The 27,737-nt window shown below is 38.7% G+C and overlaps 1 protein-coding gene and 1 pseudogene across 5 annotated transcripts in view, besides 2 other annotated features; both read right to left on the reverse strand.

The window, feature by feature from the left end:
- Positions 1,124 to 27,737, reverse strand: part of DMGDH (dimethylglycine dehydrogenase) — a 72,111-nt gene continuing 45,497 nt past the window's right edge. For 3 of the 5 annotated variants that reach the window (NR_104003.3, NR_104002.3, XM_006714597.3), the window contains one exon: positions 24,215 to 25,241. Coding sequence is in view for 3 of the 5 variants with exons in the window: in XM_006714597.3 (XP_006714660.1) it covers positions 25,167 to 25,241 (75 nt within the window). In the remaining 2 variants the exon portion in view is untranslated. Of the gene's footprint in view, positions 1,858 to 8,832; positions 8,968 to 19,844; positions 27,494 to 27,737 lie in introns of those variants that run through there. The other 2 variants (NM_013391.3, XM_011543355.3) reach the window with 2 other exon arrangements.
- Positions 1,447 to 2,646: an enhancer, noted in NCBI's record as "BRD4-independent group 4 enhancer chr5:78293710-78294909 (GRCh37/hg19 assembly coordinates)". NCBI's record gives its function as "activates an origin of replication core promoter dependent on BRD2, P300/CBP, MED14 and CDK7 cofactors, and independent of BRD4, by STARR-seq in HCT116 cells {active_cell/tissue: HCT116}" and the evidence as "EXISTENCE:reporter gene assay evidence [ECO:0000049][PMID:35650434]".
- On the reverse strand, positions 3,672 to 4,708 carry LOC100505796 (IMPACT pseudogene; annotated as a pseudogene).
- Positions 25,263 to 25,764: an enhancer, noted in NCBI's record as "NANOG hESC enhancer chr5:78317526-78318027 (GRCh37/hg19 assembly coordinates)". NCBI's record gives its function as "activates a minimal SCP1, AML or CMV promoter by ChIP-STARR-seq in naive H9 embryonic stem cells {active_cell/tissue: H9 hESC(naive)}" and the evidence as "EXISTENCE:reporter gene assay evidence [ECO:0000049][PMID:30033119]".

The following is a 27,737-nucleotide window of genomic DNA, read 5'->3' on the forward strand; positions in this document are numbered from 1 at the left end:
GAGAATGAGGGCAACTTCTTAAGGAAATCAGAGTAGACGTCTTTTATATTGTGGGTAGGATTTCTTTAAAACTTTAACATTCATCTGAATAGTCTATTCTTTTATTCATTAGTTTTAGCGCTATATTAACTATATGATATGAATTTAATGTTATACTTTCATTATTGCTTCTTGATAATATAGTATCCAAAAAAGAGTCTAGACCTATTTCACAGAGGAGGAACCCAGAGATGGTATGTAACTATCCTAAAGTCATGGGGTTATAGAAAGGCAGAGAATGAGAAGCAGATATCCCAATTCCCAGTCAAAAAAGCGGATATCCCAAATTCCCAGCACTAACATGAACTGGATTAAAGAACCTAGATAATATTCCCAATAATTAGGAAATTAGTTTGTTACCAAAGGGATTTCCTTCTTTTCTCATCTAAGAGGATATGCCAAAGAGAAATGAACATGTGAAGAGTTCTAATATGTAACTACTGTTATAAAACATTTAAAATGTAAAATTGGCACCTTTTCAAAACTTACACATTAAGAAATCATTTTAAAGTTTATTCAAATGACAGAATCTTATCATGCTTCACATTCTGTTTTTTGAATACTTAAGAAAACTTCTATAAATGTGTAACAAATGTATGTATGTATAAATTAATTATAAATGAGAAACCACCCTTTACAAAAAAAATTTATTTATTCCATCAACTACACCCAAATAATTTCAAAAAGTATATCAAAGAATTATTTCTAAATTGATTTTTTTCTTGCTGTACGTAGCGCTAAGGAAAACCTGTCAGCTCTTAAGCTTTTGTTTGACCTGCTTTGTCAAATGCTTTGTGAAATGATATTCAGAACAGCACCATGTGATGTCAACTTGCATTAATTCTTTCCCAAAGAGAGGTGTTCAGTATTCAAACTGTGTTTATACTGGCACAATCTATTTATGTGTCAGCTTCATTTCTGAAAGTTTACAAGTACCTCTTCCTTTGGAAGACTCTGTTCTTTCTTGCAATTTCTCTTCTAAAACAACCTTTGAAAGGACAATAATAATGTCCTATAAAGCTCCTTTCAGGGAAGTCATTAAGAAAATGATAAATATTTCACAGAATTGAATTAAAATGTTGGCTATATGTCAATGTTAAGTTTTACTATTTTCATCACAGATATATCATGAAAAATTAAAACTTTCATTTATTCATCTAAGGAAAGATTTCTCAAAGAAGTAAATCCATAAACAATATTGTACATGTTTTTATGTAAAAGATAATTTATTAATTTGTTTTCAGCTGTCAAGAACCGAATGCATTTGTTACTAAAATTATAAAATGTCCCTTAATTAGGTTATAGTAATGATTGTGTATATTAGCAAACACCTAAATGTTTTACTGATTGGGTAATGTGGGGTAAATAAAAAAACATTCATTTCAAATTTCTTCATTTAAAAGAACAATGTAAATCATTTATCTATTATTCTGTCTTGCTTAGAAAACACTTAACAGAAAGGTTTCATTAAGATTCTAAATTTAGACTTTGATGATTTTGAAATGAATTCCTGGTTTCCTCTATTCCCCTGGGAGCCAGTTATAATAATTTCAAGGACAGTCATTAGCAACTCTAATTCAGTTGACTGCTGAAGGTCTTTTTTCAAGTTTTGTCCTTTCCACCTTTTTTCTGAAGCCGGTTTCTGGTTGGTTCGGTCAATACCAAAGGTTCTTGTATGATGACTGCTGGGTAATTTTTGCCTAATAGTTCAACTTCCACTTGCTGTCCCACTTCACTTAGTTGTACAGGGACATATGCGAAAGCCAGACTCTTCTGGATGCTGTAGCTATAGCTTCCAGATGTCGTGTTGCCAACCACCTGGAAAACAAGACCCAACAGTCCTCAGCATCTTGGTCACAGCTCTGTGCTCCTCATCTCTGGGTGAAAAAAAACTAAAATACAGATTCAACTTACAAAATGGAAGTTTTATGAAGTGCTGTCTGGGGGGACAACGCCAGAGACACAGGAGGAAAACTTCACATTTTGAGAAGATGAATGAAAGTTTACAAATTATGAAAAGTAATTATCAAGGTACACATCTGTATTACTCTGAAATTTCTCATTTTTAAAATAGTAATACTTGGTTTAGGCCAGGAGTGGTGGCTCGTGCCTGTAATCCCAGCACTTGGGGAGGCTGAGGCAGGCGGATCATTTGAGGTCAGGAGTTCAAGAACAGCCTGGCCAAAATGGTGAAACCCCGTCTCTACTAAAAATACAAAAATTAGCTGGGCATGATGGCGGGCGCCTATACTCTCAGCTAATCAGAAGGCTGAAGCATGAGAATTGCTTGAACCCGGGAGGTGGAGGTTGCAGTGAGCTGAGATCTGGCCACTGCACTCCAGCCTGGATGACAGAGTGAGACTGTCTCGAAAAAAAAGTCTATATAACAAGCTTGATTAAAAGATAAAAAGGTTACTGGAAATCAGGTCTAAAGGAAAGAATGAAAAAGAAGGAAAAGCAGAAAATACAGAAACATTACATTACATCAAAACATTACATGGAACAAAAATAAAAGGAAGACAACAAAAGTAAAACACGATATATAGCCCTGCTCAAAATGGCTTCTCCTGGCCACACAACATTGCACTAATCCTTAAAGTCCTACCGTCTGGCACAGTGGACTGCTTACAGCTGGAGCTCAAGACATTCATGGATGGAAATCAGCCTGGTGATCATTCAGCTGCCTCAGCAAAGAGCACATTACAAACAACAATCTTACTATAGCACTTCTAGTATTTTAGATGCTAACACATTCATGACTTTAATTGCAGACTCCTATCTCTGTAGTCCCAGTTTTTAATTCTCTCTTTGAAACCCCAAATCAGAAGCTCTCCATATGATTTCTCTCTCTCTTTTTTTTCTTTTGTTTGAGACAGAGTCTCTCTGTGTCACCCAGGCTGGAGTGCAGTGGCTCCATCTCAGCTCACTGCAAGCTCCGCCTCCCAGGTTCATGCCATTCTCCTGCCCCAGCCTCCCGAGTGGCTGGGACTACAGGCACCCACCACCACGCCCGGCTAATTTTTTTGTATTTTTTTAGTAGAGGCGGGGTTTCACCGTGTTAGCCAGGATGGTCTCGAACTCCTGACCTCGTGATCAGCCTGCCTTGGCCTCCCAAAGTGCTGGGATTACAGGCATGAGCCACCACGCCCGGCTGTTCTCCATATGATTTCTAAACTTACTGTGAAAACTGGTTGACCGTGAAAAAAGAAAACTTTTTGACTGTGAAAAATAAAATGTGAATACATTCATTAGTAAAAGTTTATCTCTGGCTGATTAATAACTGCCAAGGTATAACACATGCTTTAAAATTGCTTTTCTCCTTTAGATCATAGTTCAGTGATACAGGCAGGGATTAGGGTCAGAGAGGTTAGAATTTTAATCATTGCTTTTTTTTTTTTTTTCTGGTGTGGAGTAAGACTACTGACACTCCATATTTATTGCTTTATATTATAAGAATTAAAGAAGCAGAGACTAGAAAATCACTTTTGGAAATTTCACAATCACCAATTTGCAACAGAAATGGAGGCATAATATTTACGCTAACAAATATGTTGGAAGAATTGTCACCTCAGCCCATAACTGCAAGTGGATACTCCTGGATTTTCACTTACTCCATTACTCAGTGATGAACATTTTTTGTTTTTTTTCCAAAGCCTTAGATGATTTTCAGGTGAATGTGTGTTGTTCTTCTCCACTAGTATGTTTCTGGCACAGTTATGTTTAAAGTGATCTGGTCCTACAGAATCCCTCCATACCAGCGTGATACCACCACCATGATATTCCTCACATTTAAAATCTCCATGAGATGAAGAAGATGCCCACCAGCTGCTCTTTCCCCATCATCCTCACAATCCTGTAAGAAGGTCTGTTTATTCTCACAATATACTCTGTAGGCATAGATGCTGTGGGTGGTACTAGCTATTTTCTTATTCTCATACAAGTTGGAAAGAACCATTTTCACCTGTTTGGGACAAACTACTGGATCAAAGTCTGCCTGAAAAGTACTTATTCGGTCTGTAACAGAAATGCCATGATCAATCAGAGATAATTCTATTTCTCTTTGATTTTCACTGATATCAAAATCCAGTGCTGTCACCGAACTTTCTGGCTGACATGCAAAAATGAGATCATCTTCACATTCAACATCTTCCTCTTCAGTTTCTTTCTTTGCCTCTGGGCCTGGTTCTGTCATCTGAGGTTTTTGTATTGGAACATCTCTTATTTTCTCCACTCACAGGTAAAGAATACTTTCACCAATATTCTGTCATTTTCTCATTAAATATTTTGGGAGGAAAAGAAACTTAGCCTGGATCCCAGGGACACAAAGCAGGTACTCTCACCGAACCAGATGGGGTGGCCACATATATATTTCCTCAGGCTATTCAATAAATGGACAAGTTCTTGCCCTTTAAGCCAATGAGCATTCAACTGATAGACAGGTGGAGCTGTACCTGGGTCCTCATTTGGCAGCATCACTTGCAAGCAAAGTGTCCATTTGGGGTCATCTATATCGTAGCTAATTCTAATACAAAATATTTTGGCACAGTCATCAATGACACACCATTCCTCGCCATCAATGGCTACCATTGCTTCAATTTCCTCATCCTGCCTTTGGTTACTCCCTGCGTCCCCCTCAGCCATGTAGCCCTGGAAGCAGCTCTGCGGCTGCACCTAATCATTGCTTTTGTTTGCTTGTTTTTTGAGATGGAGTCTTGCTCTGTTGCCCCAGCTGGAGTGCAGAGGCGCAATCTTGGCTCTCTGCAACATCTGCCTTCCAGGTTCAAGCTATTCTCTTGCCTCAGCCTCCTGAGTAGCTGGGACTACAGGTGTACACCACCATGCCTGGCCAATTTTTGTATTTTTAGTAGAGACGGGGTTTCACCATGTTGGCCAGGCTGGTCTCGAACTCCTGAACTCAAGTGATCAGCCCGCCTTGGCCTCCCAAAGTGCTGGGATTACAGGTATGAGCTAGCATGCCTGGCTTAATCATTGCTTTTTGAAAGACTTTCTTGATAACCTTGTTTTCATTTCCCCATCTGTAAGAAAGAGATTTGGGTTTGGAGCCCTGGAAGAGTTAAGCTGGTTTGCTTGAGCATCTTCAGAAAACAGGAAGAGACCTAGGCCAGTCTCAGGGTGTGATCCCCTGACTCACTGGGTCAAAAGCACACAATCCTCAGCCCTTCTCATCTCCTAACATCCCAGCAGTGATTTGTCTTGCAGTCATTCTGCATTAGTAACCTAAAAAAATAGAGTCCTTATTTATGAGTGCTATTTTTAAAATTTGCCTTGCTTTCTGCTAGAATTTACTTTCATTTCTACTTGAATTTCTCTCTAATCCAGGTTTAGAAGCCCAGGATATTTCAGAAATCTGGCTTTTCCTTTTACCTTATTACTAAATCTCCAGGGAAATGTTTTCCCTTGCATAAATTTTAAATAGTTCTACCTAAAATCTTCCAGGTTCAATTAGATCCATTCTGCCTTTTAGTTCAGTGAACTGTGAGAACAATCTGTCCCCACCCTCTGCCTGGCAAATTCTCATTCTTTGTTAAAACAAACATTGACCTTCTTTTTACCAATGTGAATAATTCTCATTTATTTTTAGCCTTTTCTCATTTCTCTCGCAAATTATGAGAAGTCTCTATCTGACTTCCAGAAGATAACATGGCAAATGGCCTTTGAAGGAAGTTAACATAATTTAAGTTTGATGTTCTATTGTGTTTTTCTTTGACTGTCCCCGTGTGTTTTAGTTTACAAATAATAATTTTAAAAAACCTTCTAAGCTCTCCAAACCTCTCCACAAACCTCTTTTTCAAAACTTCCTTCCAAGCTAAGCATCTTTTAATAACTGAGCCACCGAATATAAAGAAAGCCTTTCTCATGACCATCTTTATGCCTTGATTTCAAAAAAATTAAACCTCATTTAAGGTTATAATCCCTTTCTCCAGCACTGCCCAGCTCCCTGTTGGACTTGACCTTTCCCCAAGGCACTAAAGACCATCTGACATGCAATATACTTTATTTATTTTGTCCATTGTCTGTCTCTCCCTCCTCTGGAATGTAAACTCCATGAGGTCAGAGATTCTTGTGTTTTGTTCACTGCTGTATTCCCAGTGCCTAGAATATCGCTGGCATATGGTAGACACACACACACACAAAAAAGTCAATAAACAAATACATTTGTACCCTATCTCCAGCATTGGAAATGCTTGCAAGAATAAAATACTAAATACCAAAAGCAACACAAGTCAAGACAAAGTCTGAAAAGAAAAAGCAAAAATTATTTCATATCAGTCCAGAGTAAAGAGGATCCAAGGAGGGCCTCTGAAAAAGGATCAAAAAGAAGACTATCTGTATGTAAAATGATGACCTTACTAAGCATCAAAGAGCAGGCAAACTCATATTAGGAAATCTAAGAGATAGAATCCTATAATTGGATTAGCAGCTTTATAAGCAGATGGCAAGGAATATAGCATGTAAATGCAGTATATGCATAGGGCAAAGGAAAAAACCTTTAGATTAGACCTTGGGTTTTCAGGGTTTTAAAACTAATTTTGTTATCATCATATTTAAGGTGGCTAAAAATCAGTTGATTGTGGATGACGTGGGAATACAGAATAATATAGCATAATATCTCTTTCATTCCATGCTGAGTAAAACAGAAGGTTGGTGGAAGGGTAAGTGTAGACTGTATTAAGAAGTACTGAGAAAACTGAATGGGAATAGAGTGAAAAATATAAAACAAAGGGAAGATGAGGTGGGAGGAAATGTAGTGACAAGAAGACGTTATCTCATCCAATGGCTTCATTTTACAGATGAGAAAGCTGAGGCCCAGAGATCAGCTCAGGATCAGGTCAAATAGTTAATTAATGGCAGAGCTGGTTATAAGTATAAATCATGTGAATTGTGGGCAAATATGAATTGGAGGAAGAATACATATTGAGAAAAGAGGGCTGAACCAGAGATACAGAACAGAAAGAGAAAGAAGAGATAGGGAGAAAGGTAGCAACAGTTCAAACAGAAGAGCAAACTCAGCCCAATTTAAGAAGGAAGTGGAGGTCAGCCCATCCAGGCTTACAGACAGGCGAAGGCACTTGAGATCTGAGAAAAGTCAGTTGGCTTCACAGGCTCTAATAACATCCACCTGATACTCAGATGCACAAGAATGTGGGCATAGAATTAAATTCTTAAGGCCAGGGGCAGTGGCTTATTCCTGTAATCCCAGCACTTCGGGAGGCCAAGGTGGGTGTATCACCTGGCTGGTGATCAACACCAGCCTGGGCAACGTGGAGAAACCCCATCTCTACTAAAAATACAAAAATTAGCCAAGCATGGTGGCACGCACCTGTAAACCCAGCTACTGGGGAGGCTGAGGCAGGAGAATCACTTGAACCCGGGAAGCGGAGGTTGCAGTGAGCTGAGATCACGCCACTGCACTCCAGCTTGGGCAACAGAGTAAGGCTCTGTCTCAAAATAAATAAATAAATAAATAAAAATAAAATAAATTCTTAAGAAACTACAGGGGGACATCAACAGAGACAGAAAAGAGATCAAATTGAAGTGTTCAACATGTCTTAGAAGAAAGGACCAGAAATTCAAAGTTGGAAACTAGACCTGGGTTGGAGATCAGTTCTATCAATCACTGGCCACGTAACCTCAAGCAAGTTACTTCTGAGCCCCTCAAAGCCTCATCTTTAAAATGGAAATGATCATATATATCTGACAGGTGTGCTGCAAAGTTAAATGGGAGAGCACATGAAAAATATCTGGTATACAGTAAGAACTCAGTAGATGTTAGTTCTTTGTCAAATTGACCCATGCTTTAGCCCCAAAGGCTGTGATTTGACACCACTGGCTTTCTCCACTTCTAGCACTCTTTGTGTTACTGATGAGATAGAGAAAATGGAAACAAATATCAAGTAGGCTGCAGTGAATACGAAAAAAACCCAGGCACAGAAGCTCTGAGTCTTGGGTAATGACCAAGCTGACCCTGTTCATTGTGGAACAGCTGCTTAGATGAGCTTTGAAGGCTCCATTCCCTCCCCATGGTCTAAGCTGGGTGTCCCACATATGCCTGCTAACACCAGGAAAAACACACCCACACTCAGTTTCAACAAAATTGGGTTTTACAAATAGTAATAAAAAAATGGAGAAAGTAACTGAATGCAGAAAGCTTGGGAGAAAAAATGGAGAAAATAAAGTCCCATTGATACATTATCTGACTAACTCTGGTTTTACTGAACACAAATAGAAAGAATAAAAAGTAACATTCCAAAATGAGAAGGTGATTTTACTCTTCCTGAAGAACCAAATGGTTTCCACTTTTCACTTTATTTTCTAAGGTTTTACCCTCTATTGTCATAAATGTTTTCATCTGGATTTTTTCTCTGTTAATATGCTAATTGCCTCCTTCTGAAAGATCCATAAAAAGTTAAATCAGAATGCCAAATTTTTTATAAAATCCATCTTTTGCATTTACAGACATGGATGTGGTGAGCAAATAGATCATTTACCCTCTAAATCATATCCTTCTCATTGTCCAGTGTGTTTCAAGTCTTTGGGTTTGTTTTCTTTAAACAGAATATATAGAATTTTATGTTTTCAAAAATGAGCAACATTGCATTTTCCTTTCAGTCAATTGCGTTCTGTCTTTTGAATGTCAGCTCAGAAATCAAAAGCGTGTCATCCCTCCAACAAATAATTAATAGCAAAAGGGTTTAAGAGGAAATAGGAACAAGGGGAGTTTCTGTTGCAGAAGATGCCACAGCCCCTGGCAGTGAGGTCCTCAGCACTCACCTTGCCATTGTACCAGATGCTTTCATTTCCCTCTGGATCAACATCATCCGTTGCCAAGGTGAGGCAGACCAGTCTTCGTTTCAGCCCCTTGGCTTTAATCTGTTTCAGTGCTTGCTTTCCTATGAAGTCTGCTGGCTGCAGGAATCCAAGATAATGATGATGAATGAATGCTCAGACACTGTGACAAGGTTAGAGATGCAAGCATTTAAATTTGTCTTTCCTATTTTCTCACCAATTACACATTAAATAAAAATACAGATCGGATCATATGTCTAGACAAATATTTCTTAGTCCTCAAATGAGAGTATCAGCCACCTATTCCTTCAGAATATGTTAGACTTAAGGGTAATAACTTGTGATGACAATTTACCAGAACCAGGCAGAAACCTAGGCAGAAAAACATAAGGCATGTTGCAATGGTGGATTATGAAAGTGACCCTTGTGTCTAATGGGTCTGGACAGTGGTACGGGCTGTCGGTAAGCAATGTGCAACTCAATTTCTACCTATAGAAAGTCTTTTACCTGAAGAAAATTCACTTTTTTGAAACATGGTGCTAAAACAAACCCAAAATGCAGTATTTTTTTTCTTTTGCTTCTTCAGAATAATGTCTCTGGAATGTATTTACCTATTGGATTGCATTCATTAGTTCATTCTGAAACCATTTATTGAGCCCCTACTATGTGTGAGGCATAATGCTAGGCCCTGTGTGGGTAACAAAATGAGTTAGACACAGACATTTTTATCAAAGAGTTTATTCTCTAATACTGTGCTTTTCAACCTTTTTTTTTTTTTTACTTCTTCCGTGCAACACATGACAGATGACATTCCTATTCCTAATACACTCCCATGGGCACACTCAGGGCCATTCCCAATGCAATCAATGCAAGGGAATGACAGCGACATTGTTATAGGGATAACCTTGAATTCATTCTTATGTGTTACAAAAAAAAAAAAAAAAGTAGGAATCAGGCAAACTGGAAGACTTCGCACTTACTGGTAATACACCTTAATACACCTTACCTGTGAGTAGGACACACAAGTGAGCAATGACTCCTCAGCAGAGACACTTAGCTAATAAGGGAGATAGAATTCTACTCAACCAAATGCCAGGAGACACATGATAAGTGTGATAAACTAGTCAGAGGTGAAGAGAGAGCACTGAGAGTGAGCGCCCTGGAGGGAGGGCTGACATCCGTGGGAGGTTAGTATGAGACTTCTGCATACTCTGCCTAGACAAGCATCTCTTATGTGAAGGAAAGGAAATTTGTGATATATAAATCGTATCTATGGTGAATAAGATTTAATCAGAGATCACAATGTGGAAAACAAGATTCTCCAAACAGTTCCCACAGACAGACTACTCTCTGAACGCAAAGAAAGGAAACAACCAAAAGCTTTAATTTCTTTATTGGCAATAAGAAAGAGTATTTCATGCCTAAGATGTCCTCCACCGCTAACATTTAGGACTTACACAGTTCTTTCTGCACTTGAAACATTTAGGACTGAGTGTAATAAATCCCCTTAACCTCCAGAGAAGCAGCAGCAGGGGTCCTCACACACCCTCACCTGAGACCCCCCCAGTCCATTCCTTTCCTAGTTTAGAACCTCTAGGATGAACCTACAATGAAATATGATTTCTATGGATAATCCAACTTTAAATTGCTGACCTACACAGGAAGTTAGAGAAAGTTTCCATTAGCCGAGGTTAAAATAATGTGCAAAATGAACATCCAATTCTTTCTCCTTCCCCAGGGTGATACAACTGGTAAGAACCAACTATAAAGCTTTATTATGAAGCCAGATCATGAAAATTTAAAGAAGATTGGAACCCGTGTTATTTAATATAGGACAAATGGGGGTGGGGAGTCACAGGAAGAGCTTGATTCATTTGAATTCATATATAGGATAAATTCATGATAACAAGTCATAACAAACCAAAGTTCACTATAGTTAAAACAGGCAGAGTTGACCCTTGAACAATACCACTTTAAGCTGTGGAGGTCCACTTACATGTGGATTTTTTTCAACTAAACACAAATAGAAAATACAGTATTCGTGGGATTTGAAACCCATGTATATGGAGGGGCTGACTTTTTGTATATATGGGTTGGTGGTTCTTGAGTAAACTCAGATTTTGGTATATGTGGGGGTTCTGGAACCAATCCCCCACATACACAGAGGGATGACTATATCTAAGAAAGAATTCTATAACAGCAACATTTTTTTTTTGCTATCTTTTAAAAAGGAGACTTGCAATCATAGAATAATGATGACAAGGGGTGCTTTTCAGAGTTCTTGTCTATGTTGGAATCAATAACTATACTGAAAAAATTTTATGCTTTATTGTGCAGAGAAGCACTTAAACAATAGTCAGTGACCAAATTGACTTACACGGTGTGATTTATGGAATGCCAGCAGATCTGAAATTATTTCCTCACCTACCATCATGGAATCTGAATCTTTACCATTAGAGATTCATTTACAGCTTGAAGGTTCTTAATCTTCCTGAGTCCCCTATTAAATAATTTTCTTTCAATTATTTATTCAACTATTGTTAAGCCCCTGCTGAATATCAGATACTGTGTTAGGCAGCGGGTATTCAGAGCTTCAGAGAACATGATCTTGGGCCCAGTCCTGAAATTACTACATCTCCTCAATGTTTTAACAGAAAACAATGTTTTAACAGGAAAATGTTTTTCCTCAATGTTTTAACAGAAAAAAAGAACAATTTGAGATTATTGGAAACATAGCAGAACATGACACACAGTAGCATATCAATTAGCAATACAAATTTTGAAATATGACTCATGGTTGGTTCCTTGTGTTCTAGGGTGTAAAAATCACAAAAGTTTTGTAAATCTAAAACAAAGAATATCTAATATGTGGAGGCAGAAATGCAAACAAATAGAAGCTTTGATAGAGGTATGGACAGTGGGGGCCCAAGGAAGAAAATGACCCAGTTCCGCCTGGGATGGGAGAGCGGGGATCGGGGCATTCTTTGAGTTGAGTTTTGAAAGACGAGTAGGTTTCATAAAACTACTGTCTGTACAGCCTTTCCCAAAAGTGTCTGTACTTACATTATAATCTGATCTACACAAAAACACCCCACAGATACTGGATTTGGAGTCCAAGAGCAGTGCATTAACTCAGTCAAAGACAGGCAATCAACAAACTGGTTAAGAACCAAGATCTCAGGAGGCCTAGCCCTGTTCATTTCGCCTACTCTGAACAGCCCTAATGGAGCCACTTAAATCAATATCTGCTACACCTCTGGAGGCGATGTGGTGGAAGCTGGCCATGACCAGCTGGGGGTGCTGGATGAGAGCTATTGGGGCAGAGCTAGGCGAGGGTTGAGATGTGCTGGAAAAGGAGACTAACTCTACCTTTGTCAAATTCACAATTTTACCAAAGGCTAAGAAGGAACATCAGGTATTAGCTAACCATGAGGGAAACAGGAAAGGTGGGGGGAGAGTGGGCAAAAACTTTCTCTAGAAAAAAAAATAGAGTAGTAAATTCAGTTTAAAAAATAATAAAATATTAATCAGTAACATTTACAATTTCTTATGCCCTTGCTGTGTCACATACTAAAATGATGGCTTCACATTCAAGAGCTCATTTAATCCTCATGACAACACTTTAAGATGGATATTTTAATCCCCAGTTTATGAAAGACTAAACTGAGGCTCAGTTACATGACGAGATAAACCTGCACCTTTAGATTTTATCCATATTTTTTTAAATGCCTGTGCCTGGAGTCTATCATTAGAAAGCACTCTAAATAAAGTGCTTTAAATACTCTAAATAAAGAATGTTTCTTTTAAATTTCTTTTAGGTGGCCGGAACCTATTTTGAATGAATTTACTATAAAATAATATTTGTGTACTATGTAAAAGTATCTGAAAACATTCAGAATGTTAATATTAATGCAATTTGATATCTGTATTTGTATATCCCTAAATTAGGAATTAGGTCTTTTCAGTAATTTCATCCTCAGACATGAAATAAAACATATTCTAACAAAAACAACAGCAAAAATCTTATTGAAAGTAAGAAACACTTACTTTCTTTCTTCTTTTCTTTTCTTTTCTTTTCTTTTTTTTTTTTTGAGACAGAATCTCTCTCTGTCACCCAGGCTGGAGTGCAGTGGTCACAATCTTGGCTCACTGCAACCTCCACCTCCTGGGTTCAAGCAACTCTCTTGCCTCAGCCTCCTGACTAGCTGGGACCAGGCACACACCACCAGGCCTTGCTAATTTCTGTATTTTGGATAGAGATGGGGTTTTGCCATGTTGGCCAGGCTGGTCTTGAACTCCTGACCTCAGATAATCTGCTTACCTCAGCCTCCCAAAGTGCTGGGATTACAGGTTTACAGGTGTGAGCCACCGCACCCAGCTGGAACACTTCAATAAGTGCCATAAGTACAGACAGGAGGCTGCACCTGCCCATTGGCACAATCCCCCTGTCTCAAACCAACAAGGCTCCTGACTTAGGAAGATTTAAGTAAAATGAGGGCATTTCATTTTCATTTTACTTGGCTTTGCTCCCAAGATTATAGATTTTACTCTACTATATAATTATTAATTATAAATGAGAGGAAAATGTGTCTGAAGGTTAATGCTGTAATTAAAATAGGTGCTTTCAGGATGACCCAAGAACAGAAGTATATTTCTTTAATAAGTCATTGCCAAATTAACTATATAAATAGCTATTAATATCTTTGAAAAATGTATAAATTTCTGGAACACTGAGACTGTAGCCTAAAAATAGTCTTGGCTTCTGTTTTTAAAATTTATTAATTTTAAATAGCAATATGAGTCATTAAAACATCCACCTGTAATACATACTAAATATAATATCTACCTATATGAAAACATTAAGTAGATTTTTAAGTGAAATATAATTACTCATCTCTCATTAGCTCTATTAAAGGAACCATATTACCTAAAAGCACATGTAAATGAAAGAAAGTAAATCAGTATATTTTTGGTTGTGATTCTTAGGGCAATGGAGAGCTCTGAGATATGTAGTTAAAATCAAATTTGACAGCAGCACGGTAGGCAGGGTCTGATATGGAGAGTCAGGGTAGTGGGCTATAAGACACTGGGTAGAGATTATGAAAATACAGTCTTGGACCTTTTCTTTTCCATCTATATGGAGTCAAAAACCCATCAGAAAATCCAAAGAAGTCATCAATTTTTTGATTGATTTTGTATCAGTCAAAATCTACTCATCTTTCAAAACTCAGCTCAAGCAACTTCTCTATACAATTGGTGATGATGGAATGCTGTCCCCAGCCCCACTCTGCCACCCCAGGTAGAATTGAGTCATATTCTTCCTTGAGCCCCCACTGTCCATACCTCTATCATAGCTTCTGTTTGTTTGCATTTCTGCCTCCACATGTTATTCTTTGTTTTAAATTTATAAAACTTTTGTGACTTTTTACACCCTCATAGAAAGTTCTAGAGACATAAGGGAATCCGTGTAACATCCTCTGTCCCAGTAAAGCTTCCTTGGGAATCAGGCACAGCACTGGTTGTGGAATCAGGCTACTGTGTCTTATAGGCGGGGAAGGGCTGCAGAGACTGTGATCATCAGGTACTGTAAGTGGCAGAGTGGAGATGGAAATCCAGATGACAGGCTGTGCCACTATCCTTCAATATTTTCCTGAAAAGCTTCTCATTTAGAATGGATTTTGGATCATCATTTAAAGCAATCTGGGTGGGAATCCCGTTGCAAAGCCTATGGCCATCACTCACCTACAGTCTATGACAATCTGAACTTTCTTCACTCAGTTGTGCAGTACCCTGTGCACCTGTGACACTGTTTATGCCTCAGGAAACTTATAATAAAGCCATAAACTGGATTCATTCATTTGGGGGAATGAATTCATTTAACATCCCCAACCCCCATAATAGACAAATTACAGCATTATTCATTTCATATTTACAGACTTAGAATCACAGGAGTCTTAAAGCAAGCAGAAAACTTAGTCCAAACTCATTTTCCATATGAGAAAACTAAAGCCCTACAAAATTATGGATCTTGCCAGCAGCAACAAAGTGAGTTAGCACCAAACCTTAAACCCAAGCTTCTCAACTCTTGGTTCCTTTTCCACTATTCAGAGCTTCTTAACATTCCACATAAGTTAACAATAACCACAATTTCAACATCTCCTTGATAGCAAAATGTTAAATTATTAGTTTAGCAACTAAATTGGTTATTATTGGCTAGAAAATGAATATTCCCTGTATTAGTCTGCTCTTGCATTGCTATAAAGAAATACCTGAGACTGGGTAATATATAAAGAAAAGAGATTTAATTGGCTCATAGTTCTGCAGGCTGTACAGGAAGCATGATGCTGGCATCTGCTTGGCTTCTGAGGAGACCTTAGCAAGCAAAGTTAGAATCATGGTGGAAGGCAAAGGGGGAGCAGTACTTCACATGGCCAGAGAAGGAGCAAGAGATAGAGTGCAGAAAGATACTACTCACTTTTATATGACCAGATCTCATGAGAACTCACTCACTATTGCGAGGACAGTACCAAGGGGGATTGTGCTAAACCAGTCATGAGAAATCTGCCCCCATGATCCAATCACCTCTCATCAGGCCCCACCTCCAACATTGGGGATTACAATTCAACATGAGATTTGGTGGGGAAACAGATACAAACCATATGATTACACCTCTGACCCCAAAATCTCACATCCTTCTTATATTGAAAACTATAATCATGCCTTCCCAGAGTTCCCCAAAGTCTTAGCTCATTTCACCATTAACTCAAAAGTCCAAAGTCCAAAGTCTCATCTGAGACAAGGCTAGTCCCTTCTGCCTATGAGCCTGTAAAATCAAAAACAAGTTAGTTACCTCTAAGATACAATGGGGATACAAGCACTGGGTAAACATTCCCATTCCAAAAAGGAAACATCAGCCAAAAGAAAGGAGCTATAAGCCCCACAGAAGTCAAAAACCCAGCAGGGAAGTCATTAAATCTTAAGGCTCCAAAATAATCTCCTTTGACTCCATATCTCACATCCAGGGCACACTGGTGTGCCCAAAAGCTTTGGGCAATTATGCTTCTGTGGCTTTGCAGGGTTCAGCCACCGTAACTGCTCTCATGGGCTGGTGTTGAATGCCTGCAGCTTTTGCAGGCTGAGGGTGCAAGCTGCTGGTGGGTCTACCATTCTAGGGTCTAGATGATGGTGGCTCTCTTCTCACAGCTCCACTAGGCAGTGCCCCAGTGGGGACTCTGTGTGGGGGCTCCAACCCCACATTTCCCCTCTACACTGTCTTAGGTAGATGTTCTCCATGAGGGCTCCACCCTTGCAGCAGGCTTCTACTTGCCCATCCAGGCATTTCCATACATCTTCTGAAATTTAGGTGGAGGCTCCCAAGCCTCAACTCTTGCACTTTGTGCACCCACAGGCTTAATATCATGTGGAAGCTGCCAAGGCTTATGGCTTGCACCCTCTGTAGCAGCAGCCCAAGCTTTACTAGGGCTCATTTGAGTCACAGCTAGAGCTGGAGCAGCTGGGATGCAGGGAGCAGTGTCCCAATGCCATGCAAGGCAGTGGGGCCTTGGGCCTGGCCCACAAAACATTCATTCCTCTTAGGCCTCTGGGGCTGTGATGATAGGGATTGTTGTGAAGGTCTCTGAAATGCCTTCAAGACCTTTTTCCCCAGTGTTTTGGTTATCAGCACTTGGCTCCTTTTTACTTATGCAAATGTCTCCAGCCTGCTTGAATTCCTCCCCAGAAAATGGGCTTTTCTTTTCTACTACATGGTCAGGTTGCACATTTTCCAAACTTTTACACTCTGCTTCCCCTTTAAATATAAGTTCCAACTTCAGGTCATTTCTTTGTTCACACACATGAGCATTGACTGTCAGAAGTAGCCAGGCCACATCTTGAATGCTTTGCTGCTTAGAAATTTCTTCCACTAGATACTCTAAATCATCAGTCTCAGTTTCTAAGATCCATAGATCCCTAGGGCAGGAGCACAATGCAGCCATGTTATTTGCTAATGCATAACAAAAGTGACCTTTATTCCCATTCCCAATAAGTTCTTCATTTCCATCTGAGACCTCCTCAGCTTGGCCATCTCTGTCCATATCATTATCAGCATTTAGGTCACAACGATTCAACACATCTCTAGGGAGTTTCAAACCTTCTCTCATCTTCCTGTCTTCTTCTGAGCCCTCCACATCCTTCTAACCTCTGCCCATTACCCAGTTCCAAAGCTGCTTCCACATTTTCAGATATCTTTATAGCAATATCCCACTCCTCTGTACCATTTTTATGTATTAGTTTGTTCTCTCACTGCTATAAAGAAATGCCTGAGACTGGGTAATTTATAAAGAAAATAGATTTAATTGGCTCACAGTTCTGTAGACTATACAGGAAGCAAGATGTGGGCATCTGCTTTGCTTCTGGGGAGGTCTCAGGGAACTTACAATCATGGCAGAAGGCAAAGGGGGAGCTGGCATGTCTTACATGGCAGGAGCAGGAGCAAGAGACAGGAGGGAGGTGCTACATACTTTTAAACAACTAGATCTCATGAGAACCCACTCACTATTGTGAGGACAGTACCAAAGGGGATGTTGCTAAATCATTCATGAGAAACCACCCCCATGATCCAATCACCTCCCACCAGGCTCCACCTCCAACAATGGGGATTACAATTTGGCATGAGATTTGGTGCAGACACAGATCCAAATCATATCACTCCCACACACAGGTAGTTTTCATTCTCTGCCCTTAGCAATTTAAAAGAAAGCACTCATATAGCATTTTTCTAACCAAAATTACTGACCAGTTAAAATTCCTTCTCAAAAATGTTTAATATTACTAGAACAGGAACCATAGTCACTAAAAAAGGGGGATAAAATAGAAACCTGGGAAAATAACTAAAATATAGTTCCTAAGCCAGGCAAGTAATCAGGCTAATTAGCGTTCAAATCAAACCAGATTTTCAAAACTAAAGCCCCCATTACATGTCTTTAATATTAAATCTTACTAGATTTGATGTTAAAGAGAACACTTAATTTTTCGGTTTTTTAATCTGATGATTCAAAGGAAAACTGTGAAATGGACCTGTGGCTTTATCAGATTTATGTTTAACTGCTTTGGCCAACAACTATAATATAGAGTTTTCATAATAGATTTCATCTCTCTAGAGTAGAGTGAAGAACAATTGCCCATTTGATATTTTAAGCATAGCACTTAAGCCTAAATGCAAAGTAAATAATAATCAAAGGAAATTTTAAAAGCATGAAGAAATGAGGCCTCAATAGGGACCCAAGATCTTCCTTACTGGGATCTTAAAAAAAGAAAAAGGATTTCATGTATAGTTCCTTTACTCTAAATGACTTATTTAGATTCAAATCAATAATATGGAAAGGAACTAACACTTAGTGAGGTACCAAATGTTCTTTATCTCATCTAATACTTATGACAAATTTATGGAGTGAACATTTTCTTCATTTTACAGATGAGAAAACTGAAATGCTCATAGATTAAGCAATACATCTAGTCAGAATCAGTAAATGTCAGAGTCACAATTCAAACCCTTCAACAAATATTTACAGAGCCCTCACTAGTGATCAGACACAGGGGTGAGGCTAAGGATTCTTGGCCTCTGTCCTCAAAGTTGAGGAGGTGGTCAGGAATATAAGGCGTGGTCAGTACCAGGGCAGAGGCAAGTGCAGAGTGCTATAGAAAACGGATTCTCAACACTCACCTGCCTCAATGACCACCTATATCTGAAGGGTCCAAAGCCATACTTGCAGAGCTAAGCTCTCCAAACCCACATGCTCAGATGCCTTCTGGGACTCTCTGCTTGGCTACCCCAGAGTCCTCCAACCCAAGTCCTGACAATTTCCCACCCACACCCCTCCACCTGTGTTTCCTAGTTAATCCACAGTTCATTAACATCCTCCTCTCACCCCTTCACATGCAGTCCCTCATGTGGTATCCACCCTTCCTTCTAAATAGCACTCATTGCTCTTTCTTCTCCATCCTATGGCCACTGCTTTAGTTGAAGTCTTCGCCTTCTCTCCACTGGATTTATTTGATAATTAGGAGAATGATCTCCCAGTCATCAGACGAACTCACTTTTAATCTGTTTCCCATCACTAGAGTGTCACTCCTTACTCAAAATTCTTGGGTCACTCCCCAGGTTCTCCAGGATACACTCCAAATTCCTTAGCTTGGCACATGAGACTCTTCATAATGAGGGCCCAGGACTTTTCAAGTATCATCTTTTGACATTACTTTCAACAACAAAATATTTACTGGGCATCTGCTATGTGCCAGCCCTGAGCTGGGTGTTGGGGATAAAAATAATAAACAAAACATATGTTGTATGGCCAGCACCTGTACTCAGGAAGCTTACATTCTGTTCAAAAGAAAAACAGGAAAAATAAACAAAATAATGGCAAGCTCTAAGTGCTGTAAGGAGAATACAGCTGCAAAATTTTTAAAAATTATCCAGTAAAATCCAATGATGTTTTAAAAGGTGACATATCATCACCAAGTGGGTTTTATCCTAAAAACGAAAGGCTGGCATAATGTTAGAAAATTAATAAATGTAATAAACCATATAACAAAGTAAAACAAACAAAATGATTATCTCAGTAGATGTGGAAAATCATTTGCTAAAAATCCAGTATCTATTCCTGATCTTTTTTAAAAATGTTAACACTAGGAATAGAAGCAAATGTCTTCAACTTGATAAAGAACTTCCAGGCAAGAATATAAGGCAAGCCCATCTTGGCCAACATGGTGAAACCCCGTCTCTACTAAAAAAATACAAAAAAAATTAGCTGGGTGTGGTGGTGCATGTCTGTAGTCCCAGCTACTTGGGAGGCTGAGGCAGGAGAATCGCTTGAACCCGGGAGGCAGAAGTTGCAGTGAGCCAAGATCGCGCCACTGCACTCCAGCCTGGAGACAGAGTGAGACTCCATCAAAAAAAAAAAGGAATATAAGGCAAGAAAAAGAAAAAAAAGATATCCAAATTAGAAAAGACAAAGAAAAGCTTTATTTTTATACAACATGATTGTCCATGTGACAATCTGATGGAATCTACAAAAATGCTACTAGAACCACTAAGCAGATTGAGCAAAGTTCCAAAATATAAGATCAACATATAAGACCAATTGTATTTCTATAATTTGGCAATAAACAACTGAAAATTGAAATTAAAAATACCATCTACAACAGTATCAAAACATGAAATACTTAAGGATAAATATGTTAAAAGATATGTAAGACCTGTATACTGAAAACTATAAAAGATTCCTGACAGAAATAAAAGATGACCTGAATAAATGGAGAGATGGAACTTGTTCATGAATTGTAATACTTGAATTGACCTGTAGATAAAATGCAATTCCAATAAAGTCTAGCAGGTTTTTTGGTACACATTGACAAGCTGATTCTAAAATTAATGAAATTCAAAGGACCTAGAATAGCCAAAACAGCTTTAAAAAAGAGAACAAAGTTGCAGGGCTATCACAACCTTATTTGAGCAACAGTAATCAAGACACTGTAGTATTGGCATTTGGAAAGATAAACAGATATACAGAATACAACAGAGTCCAGAAATAGACCTACAAACAAATGGACAAAGATATAAACATACTGACGAAGATATAAAGGCAATGAAATTCAGAATATATAGTCTTTTCAACAAATGGTGCTGAAAGCAATTGGTTATCCAAGTACAAATAAATAAAACTTCAGTCCATACCTCATACCAGATACAAGATCAACTAAAAATGGATCATAGACCTAAATGTAAAAAGTAAAATAATAAAACTTCTAGAAGAAAACATAGCAGAAAATCTTTATGACTTTGGATTAGGCAAAGATTTCCTAGATATGAACCAAAAGCATGATTCATAAAAGAACAATTGATAAGAACTTTAAAATTCAAAAATTAAAAATGGCTCTTTGAAAGACACCATGAGACAAATGAAAAGTCAAGACATCTGAAAAAAATTTGCAAAGCATGTATCTGATAAAGAATACAGAAAGCACTTTAAAAACTCAATTAAAAAAAACAAACCCTAGGTAAGAGATTTAACCAGACATTTCACAAAAAAAGATATAGAAATGGCAGGGAGGCACATCAAAAAATGTCCAACATCATTTGACATTAAGGAAATAAATTAAAACCATCATGAGACATCACTACATATCTCTTAGAATAGCTAAAGTTAAAAAGACTGACCATGAAAAGTATTTGACAAGGATGTAGAGGAGCTGGAACTTCACATACTGCTGGTAGGACTATAATATATAAAATGGCACACAGCTTGGCAAAACGGTTTCTTACAAAGTTACCATACACTTTCATTTTATTCAGTCATTTCACTCCTAGGTATTTACCTAGGGAAAAGAAAGCCTATGTTCATACAAATACTTGTACACAAATGTTCACAGTGTCAGCTGACTGTTGAACAACTCAGGTTTGAACTGCACGGATCCACTTATATGTGCATTTTTTTCAACCAAGCAGATCAAAAAGACAGTATTTGCAGGATGCAAAACCCAACTTTTTCTATAGGCAGTTTCCACAGACAAACTGCCGGACTTCAAGCAAATTTTGGTACCCTTGGGCAGTCATAGAACCAATCCTCCAGGTATACCAAGAGACTACTGGAGTTTTATTTGTAATAGCCCTAAACTGGAAACATCCCAAATATTTATCAATGAGTGAGTACACAAACAAATTGTAGTATATCCATACAATGGAATACTACCTGCTATAAAAGGGAATTATTATTATTTTTTTGAGGCAGAGCCTTGCTCAGTTGCCCTGGCTGGAGTGCAGTGGCACAAACATGACTCACTGCAGCCTTGACCTCCCAGGCTCAAGCAGTCCTCCTTCCTCAGCCTCTCAAGTAGCTAGGACTACAGGCATGTGTCACCATGCCCGGCTAATTTTTTGTGGAGATGGAAGTCTCACTATGTTGCCCAGTCTGGTTTCAAACCTGGGTTGAGGCAACCCTTCCACCTCCACCTCCCAAAGTGCTGGGATTACAGGTATGAGATGCCACTGGGAATGATCTATTAATAAACATAACAACACAAATGACTCTCAAGTTATGCCGAGGGAAAGAATTAACACACAAAAAAAGTATATACTCTATGATTCCATTTTTATAGATTTTGCATTTATTTTAAAAATTGCAAAATAACCTATAGTCTCAGACATAAATTGTTGCCTGGGGGGTAGGTGAGGCTGTGGGGAGGGTGGCGGGTAGGGATCACAAAGGGGCATGGACACCCCGGGGATGAGGGATAGGTTTACTATCTTCACTGCGGTGATGGTTTCACTGCTGTATCATGTACTAAAACTTATCAAATTGCTTACTTTAAATATGTCAATTATTGCATGTTCAAATACACTTAAAATAATAATAAAAATAAAAGCAATCTTAAAAATTATTTCAATTCATTCCTAGACCTGGGTTTCCATGGATATCCAAATTTGAAAGCAGTCAGCTAAACTTCACATTTCAGCTCTTAGGGTAGAAACAAAGTACTGTTTCATAACAGAAATTGGATATATATGAAAATAATGATTCAATGGCTTTAGTTTAATGTATCCTGACAGGTGTTTCAGGAATGGTCAACTACACTTCAGCTAGGTTTTACTTCTTTCCTCTTCCTTTCCTTCTCTTCCCCTCCCCTCCTTTCTCCTCTCCTTCCCCTTATCACTCAGCAATGAAAATGGGTAACAGAATAAGGATAGCTTAATTCAGATGACACAATTATGTGGCTCATAAAGATAACATGGCACCAATGTCTTCAACCACTGTGTTGGAGGCATTCCATAGGATTTTAGACTTGCAAAAGTAGCCTTCTTTTACAGATTAAAAATCTCAGCATGAAAATCAAGTTAAATGGCTTTCCTGGGCCACGCAGTTAGAATTTGGTGACTTAAAAAAAATTCACTTACTACCCAGTTCTAAAAGAAAAAACAAAGATATGGGGCAGAATACGAACCTGTAGCCTAGCTGGAATAGGCTCTAGATCTATTAATTTACATCCTTTCCACCACAGTTCTATAGCACCATCCTCTGACCAATCCACATGTTTTTCTACTTTCCTATGTACTTTCAAGACTGAAGTTGGTATGAAGTTATAAGAACTAAAACAGTGGTTCTCAATATTCACTGCATTAAAAAAAAAAAATCACCTGTGGAGCTTTAAAAAGGAACCATGGACCTTACACCTAGAGAAAATCTAATTGATTTGGGGTAGGTCCATGTACTTAAATAAACTGCATTGAAACTACCTGGAGGGCTTATTAGAATAGATTGTTGGGCCAAGTGCGGTGACTCATGCCTGTAATCCTAGCACTTTGAGAGGCTGAGGCAGGTGGATCACCTGAGGTCAGGAGTTCAAGACCAACCTGGCCAACAAGGTGAAACCTCGTCTCTACTAAAAATACAAAAATCAACTGGGCATGGTGGCGGGTGCTTGTAATACCAGCTACTGGGGAGGCTGAGGCAAGAAAATTGCTTGAACCTGGGAGGCGAAGGTTGTAGTGAGCCAAAATTGCACCACTGCACTCCAGCCTGGGCAATAGGGCAAGACTCCGTCTCAATAAAAATAGTTAGATAGACAGATAGATCGATAGATAGATAGATAGTTGGGCTCCACCCTGGCAGCTTCTGATTTTGGGGGTCTGGGATGGTACTCAACAATTTGAATTTTCTAGCAGGTCCCAGGTGACAGTGATGCTGCTGGTCTGTGGACCACACCTTGAGAACTACTTGAGTAGTTTTTAGTTCTTTCAGTTCAGGTAATTTTTAGTTCTTCAGGATAATATGTTCAGCCAGTTGAAAATCTTTGGTTGAAGACAGTAATTCTCCATCTCTGCAGAATCACCTGGGGAATTAAAAACAACTGATGCCTGAGTCCCTACAAGAGCTTCTTTTTAAATTGATCTTGGGTGTAGCCTGGGCCTTGGGATTTTAAACAGCGAAATATTATTTAAAAGAATCATACCCCAGATGATTCTAATGTCCAGCCAGGGCTAAGTATCACTGAAAATTTTCTGCCTCCTCAATTCTTATTACCATTTACCTCAAATTTCCCAAAGAGAATTGGATGCTTTGACCACTATATTAACAATTTCTTTCTAGCTTGTTGTCTGTGAACAATGGTTTGATTCCACTTGGATTTTTTTGTTTTTAGCACTCTGATGTTTTAATAATAGCTAATATTTACTGAACACCTGGGGTGTGGAAGGCTTGGTACTAAGCGCTTTGCCTCTTTACCAGCTTTTTTGGGTTGTTTTGTTTTTGGTTATCGAACAGTTATGCTTTAAATATTTCTTCCAAAAGAGACCCTGCATTTTCTAGAATCAACATTGTCTTATAACTTATGTTTAATAGAGATTACATTTTATTCTGTTTCTACTAGTTAGAAGCTCTACACGGGGAGAGAGGGGAAGGAGAGAGAAAAAGGGAAAGAGAGGGAGAAGGAGAGAGTGAGAAAAAGAGGGAGAAACATATTATAGAAAACAAATTCTTCTGATGTGCTTCAACACATTACGTTTAATACTTGAGTCTCTGTGAATCTTCGTGGAGGTTCTCCAGAAATGGACAAAAATTCAATATTTCCACCATGAAAATTCCAGGAATGCCTATGACTCCATCCAAAGGCAGCTGATTTTCCTTTTGCTCTTGATTAATGCATTTCTTCCATCTCCAACTAAACAAAGGCTACTGATTTTCCTCCCAAAAGTTACTTCCTTTGGAACATACCAAAAATACCATTGAGAACAATGATATGAGTCGTTTCAGGTGAAGCGTTTTTAGTTAAGAAGATTTTAAAAGTACAGATTCAATTATTTTTACCGCAGCTTTGGTCAAGGCTTCCTGAAGTGGCTCTACGGAGCACTTCCCACAAGATGGCAGTGTTGTATGCGGCTGGAGAGCCCTCCACTTGCGGAAGGGTTATCTTCACAATTACGGCTAAGAACGTATCCCTACAGCTTTAGTTCCTGAAATATTATTTGTTTCCAGGTTCATGAGATCTGAGAGCCATCAGGAGTATATCTTTAACATTTAGATCTATGGGTTAGCAAGGTGTCTAATCAGCGGTACTTAATAAATGTCTACTAGATGAACGGATGAATGAATGATACATGTGTATCAACTTCACATAAGCCAACAGCAGGGGAAGGAGGCTGGAACAACTCCAAGACGGAAGGAAGCAAGGGCCACTGCGCCGTCTCCCTTTGTGATGAAAGAGTTCTTCAGTACTCCATTGTTCTTTTCCCTACTTGCTGACAGGTTTTGACAAGAACACGATTCACCCTAATAAGGCCTGATGGCCCATCTGCTCACCCAGCCATTTTCCTCCTTAAAATGGGCAAAGCAGCTATTCTGATCCTATCATAAAACACAAAATTAGTTACAGCAAAAACATGTGGGGGAAGTGTCTATTAATAAAAGGTAGTCCATACAAACAATATATGTTACCAGAGAGAGAAATTCTTGGGCAGTCTTTCAAGTCTGATAAGCCCACTGTGGAAAAGGACTTTGTGGGGGAAAGTGGTGGGTGGGAAAGCTCCACGATGAGGTCAGAGGGTGGCGTTCGACCTAAGCTAAAGCAGTGGCCTCCCCCAGGTCACTTTCCCTCTCTGTGCTTCAGTTTCCTCTGCTTCAGATGGGGGAGGGGAGTACCAGCTGATCCCCAGGGACCCATCTAGCTCTGATACAGTCAGCTTCTACCTTTTCTTCACATTATGGCTTAAACGATCATAGTGTAAATGCCTAAGGGCCAACCAGAGAATTCTAAATGTTTGCTCTGAAGGGAAAGAAATAACTGATTTCAAACAATTGTAAAATGCCAGGGTTTTTGCTGTGTTTGTTTTGGTATCAAATATAAATATCTCTCTGTATTAGCTGTTGCTTCTGTTCTCCTATAGCATCGATTTTCCGAAGCAATTATAGGCTTACAGTATTTAAAATGTTGTATGAAGCTAGTTTGGGTAACATTTTGGTTTTTAGGCACAGGACTTGAATGGTCAAGTTACAAAGCTTAGTTTGTAATGTTAATAAGGTTTCCAGGCATCCGTTTCACATTATAGACTGCTACAAAACCACCAAAGTTGATCTAATCTATTCACCTGTCTTGGAGATTAGCAAGCATCATTATGAGTAGGTTAATACCAACTAGCCACTTGAATTGACATAATTGAAAAAGACTGGCTCAGTTGGGGGCCAGGTCCTTGGGCTACAAGGACCTTTACCCTATAAAATCATTAGGAATTAACTTTGTGACACTTGAATGAGAAACAACAATTCAGAAATTATAAAAACATGCCAGAAATCAAAATTAGTATCTTCTAAACAACTAACTACGTTCTGAGATGAGCTTTGGTTATTTGGCTGTATAACTTAACTAACAAAGACACAATCCACCCCTGCTAATAATCATAAAAGATATTTGAAAATCCCATTTCAATACGAAGGGATTATTTATCTATGCCTTATCCCCAAACAATAATATCCGAACACTGAAGCAAAAGAATCAGTTATCTATCTACCTACTGGTGACCAATAACAGAAATTTAGCACTTTCAAGAGTTGGGCCATTTTTAACCTTATTTGAAACAGCTAAAGTAAGGCTTCTGCTATCAGAGGGAGCAATCTGCTGCTAGGGTCTGCCCAAATTCCAAGCACCTGCTTTCTCTGGTCTGGAGGCAGATGGTACATCATAAAAATAAAAGCCATGGGGAGAATGTACAGAAAGATATTCCCTTTAAAACCCTTTAGGAGGTTCGTTTTCCTAAAATCTCATACTATAAATACACATGTTTTATTTTAATATTATAGCTCAGAATTTGGGAACTGACACAGGGTCATGAAAAAGGTTTCCTTGGCCTGATTGAGTCATATACATGTATTCACGTATTTCCACAGGATGGGAAATCAGTCTTTAGTTTACAACCATCTAGGGCAGGACATTTTATTTTTGGAGTTCTAACAAATATCCTAAACAGTAGCCGCTGCTGCCCTTATTCTTCAATACTACCACTCACCCCAGCTCTATTAAGTTGTTTTATTATAACTCTTAGGCACTGCTCAATGGAGTAACCTCATTTATATTTGTAAGGCTTGTACAGATGAGCTTGGCTGTAATAAATTGGCCTCATGATATGCTTTTCCACTATAATTATTTAGAGTAATGCTTCTCAAACCTTAGATGCATCAGAATCCCCTGCAGGGGTTGTTAAAACAGATTTGTTGGCCTGACTCCCAGAGATTCTGATTTAGTAGTTCTAGGGTGGGACCTGAGAATTAGCATTTCAAACAAGCTCCCAATGAGGCTGATGCTGTTAGTCTGAAGGCTACATTTTAAGAACCACTGATGTAGGAGTTCCCTTTGGAGTGTCTTATCGGTTATGATTATTTGGGCTTATATTAGCTTCTCAGTTAATACCCATTTTATGCCGAAAACGTTTGAAACGTGTTATTTGCTTATATTCAGATGTTGCAGTTACCCACAAAGATGCTTGATAAGCAGATGGACAGATATGCTGAAGTGAGGCTGCTCCACACTGTGAGTATCCAGAAGGATCAATGAATGCACTATGTTTGATCAGCTAATGTGCAATTTCCCAAGTCACCAGGAGTTACTGCAAAATACACAACATGGCGCACTTCCAACATAAATGTCTACTAGAATCTGACAGATAATCTTCTTATCCTTACTAATTTTTATCTTAGAATTTAGATTTAGCCCTTAAAGATGCTGGATTCTGCTATCTTAAATCTGTAAGCACACTCCAATAGTTTGAACTAAGCAAATGTTGACAAAAGAGTAATATGACACAATTGAGCAATGCTAGTATTTATGTTCACCTTGTTTCTCCTATAATC

Source organism: Homo sapiens, chromosome 5 (assembly GCF_000001405.40).
Source record: "Homo sapiens chromosome 5, GRCh38.p14 Primary Assembly".
Taxonomy (NCBI): domain Eukaryota; kingdom Metazoa; phylum Chordata; class Mammalia; order Primates; family Hominidae; genus Homo; species Homo sapiens.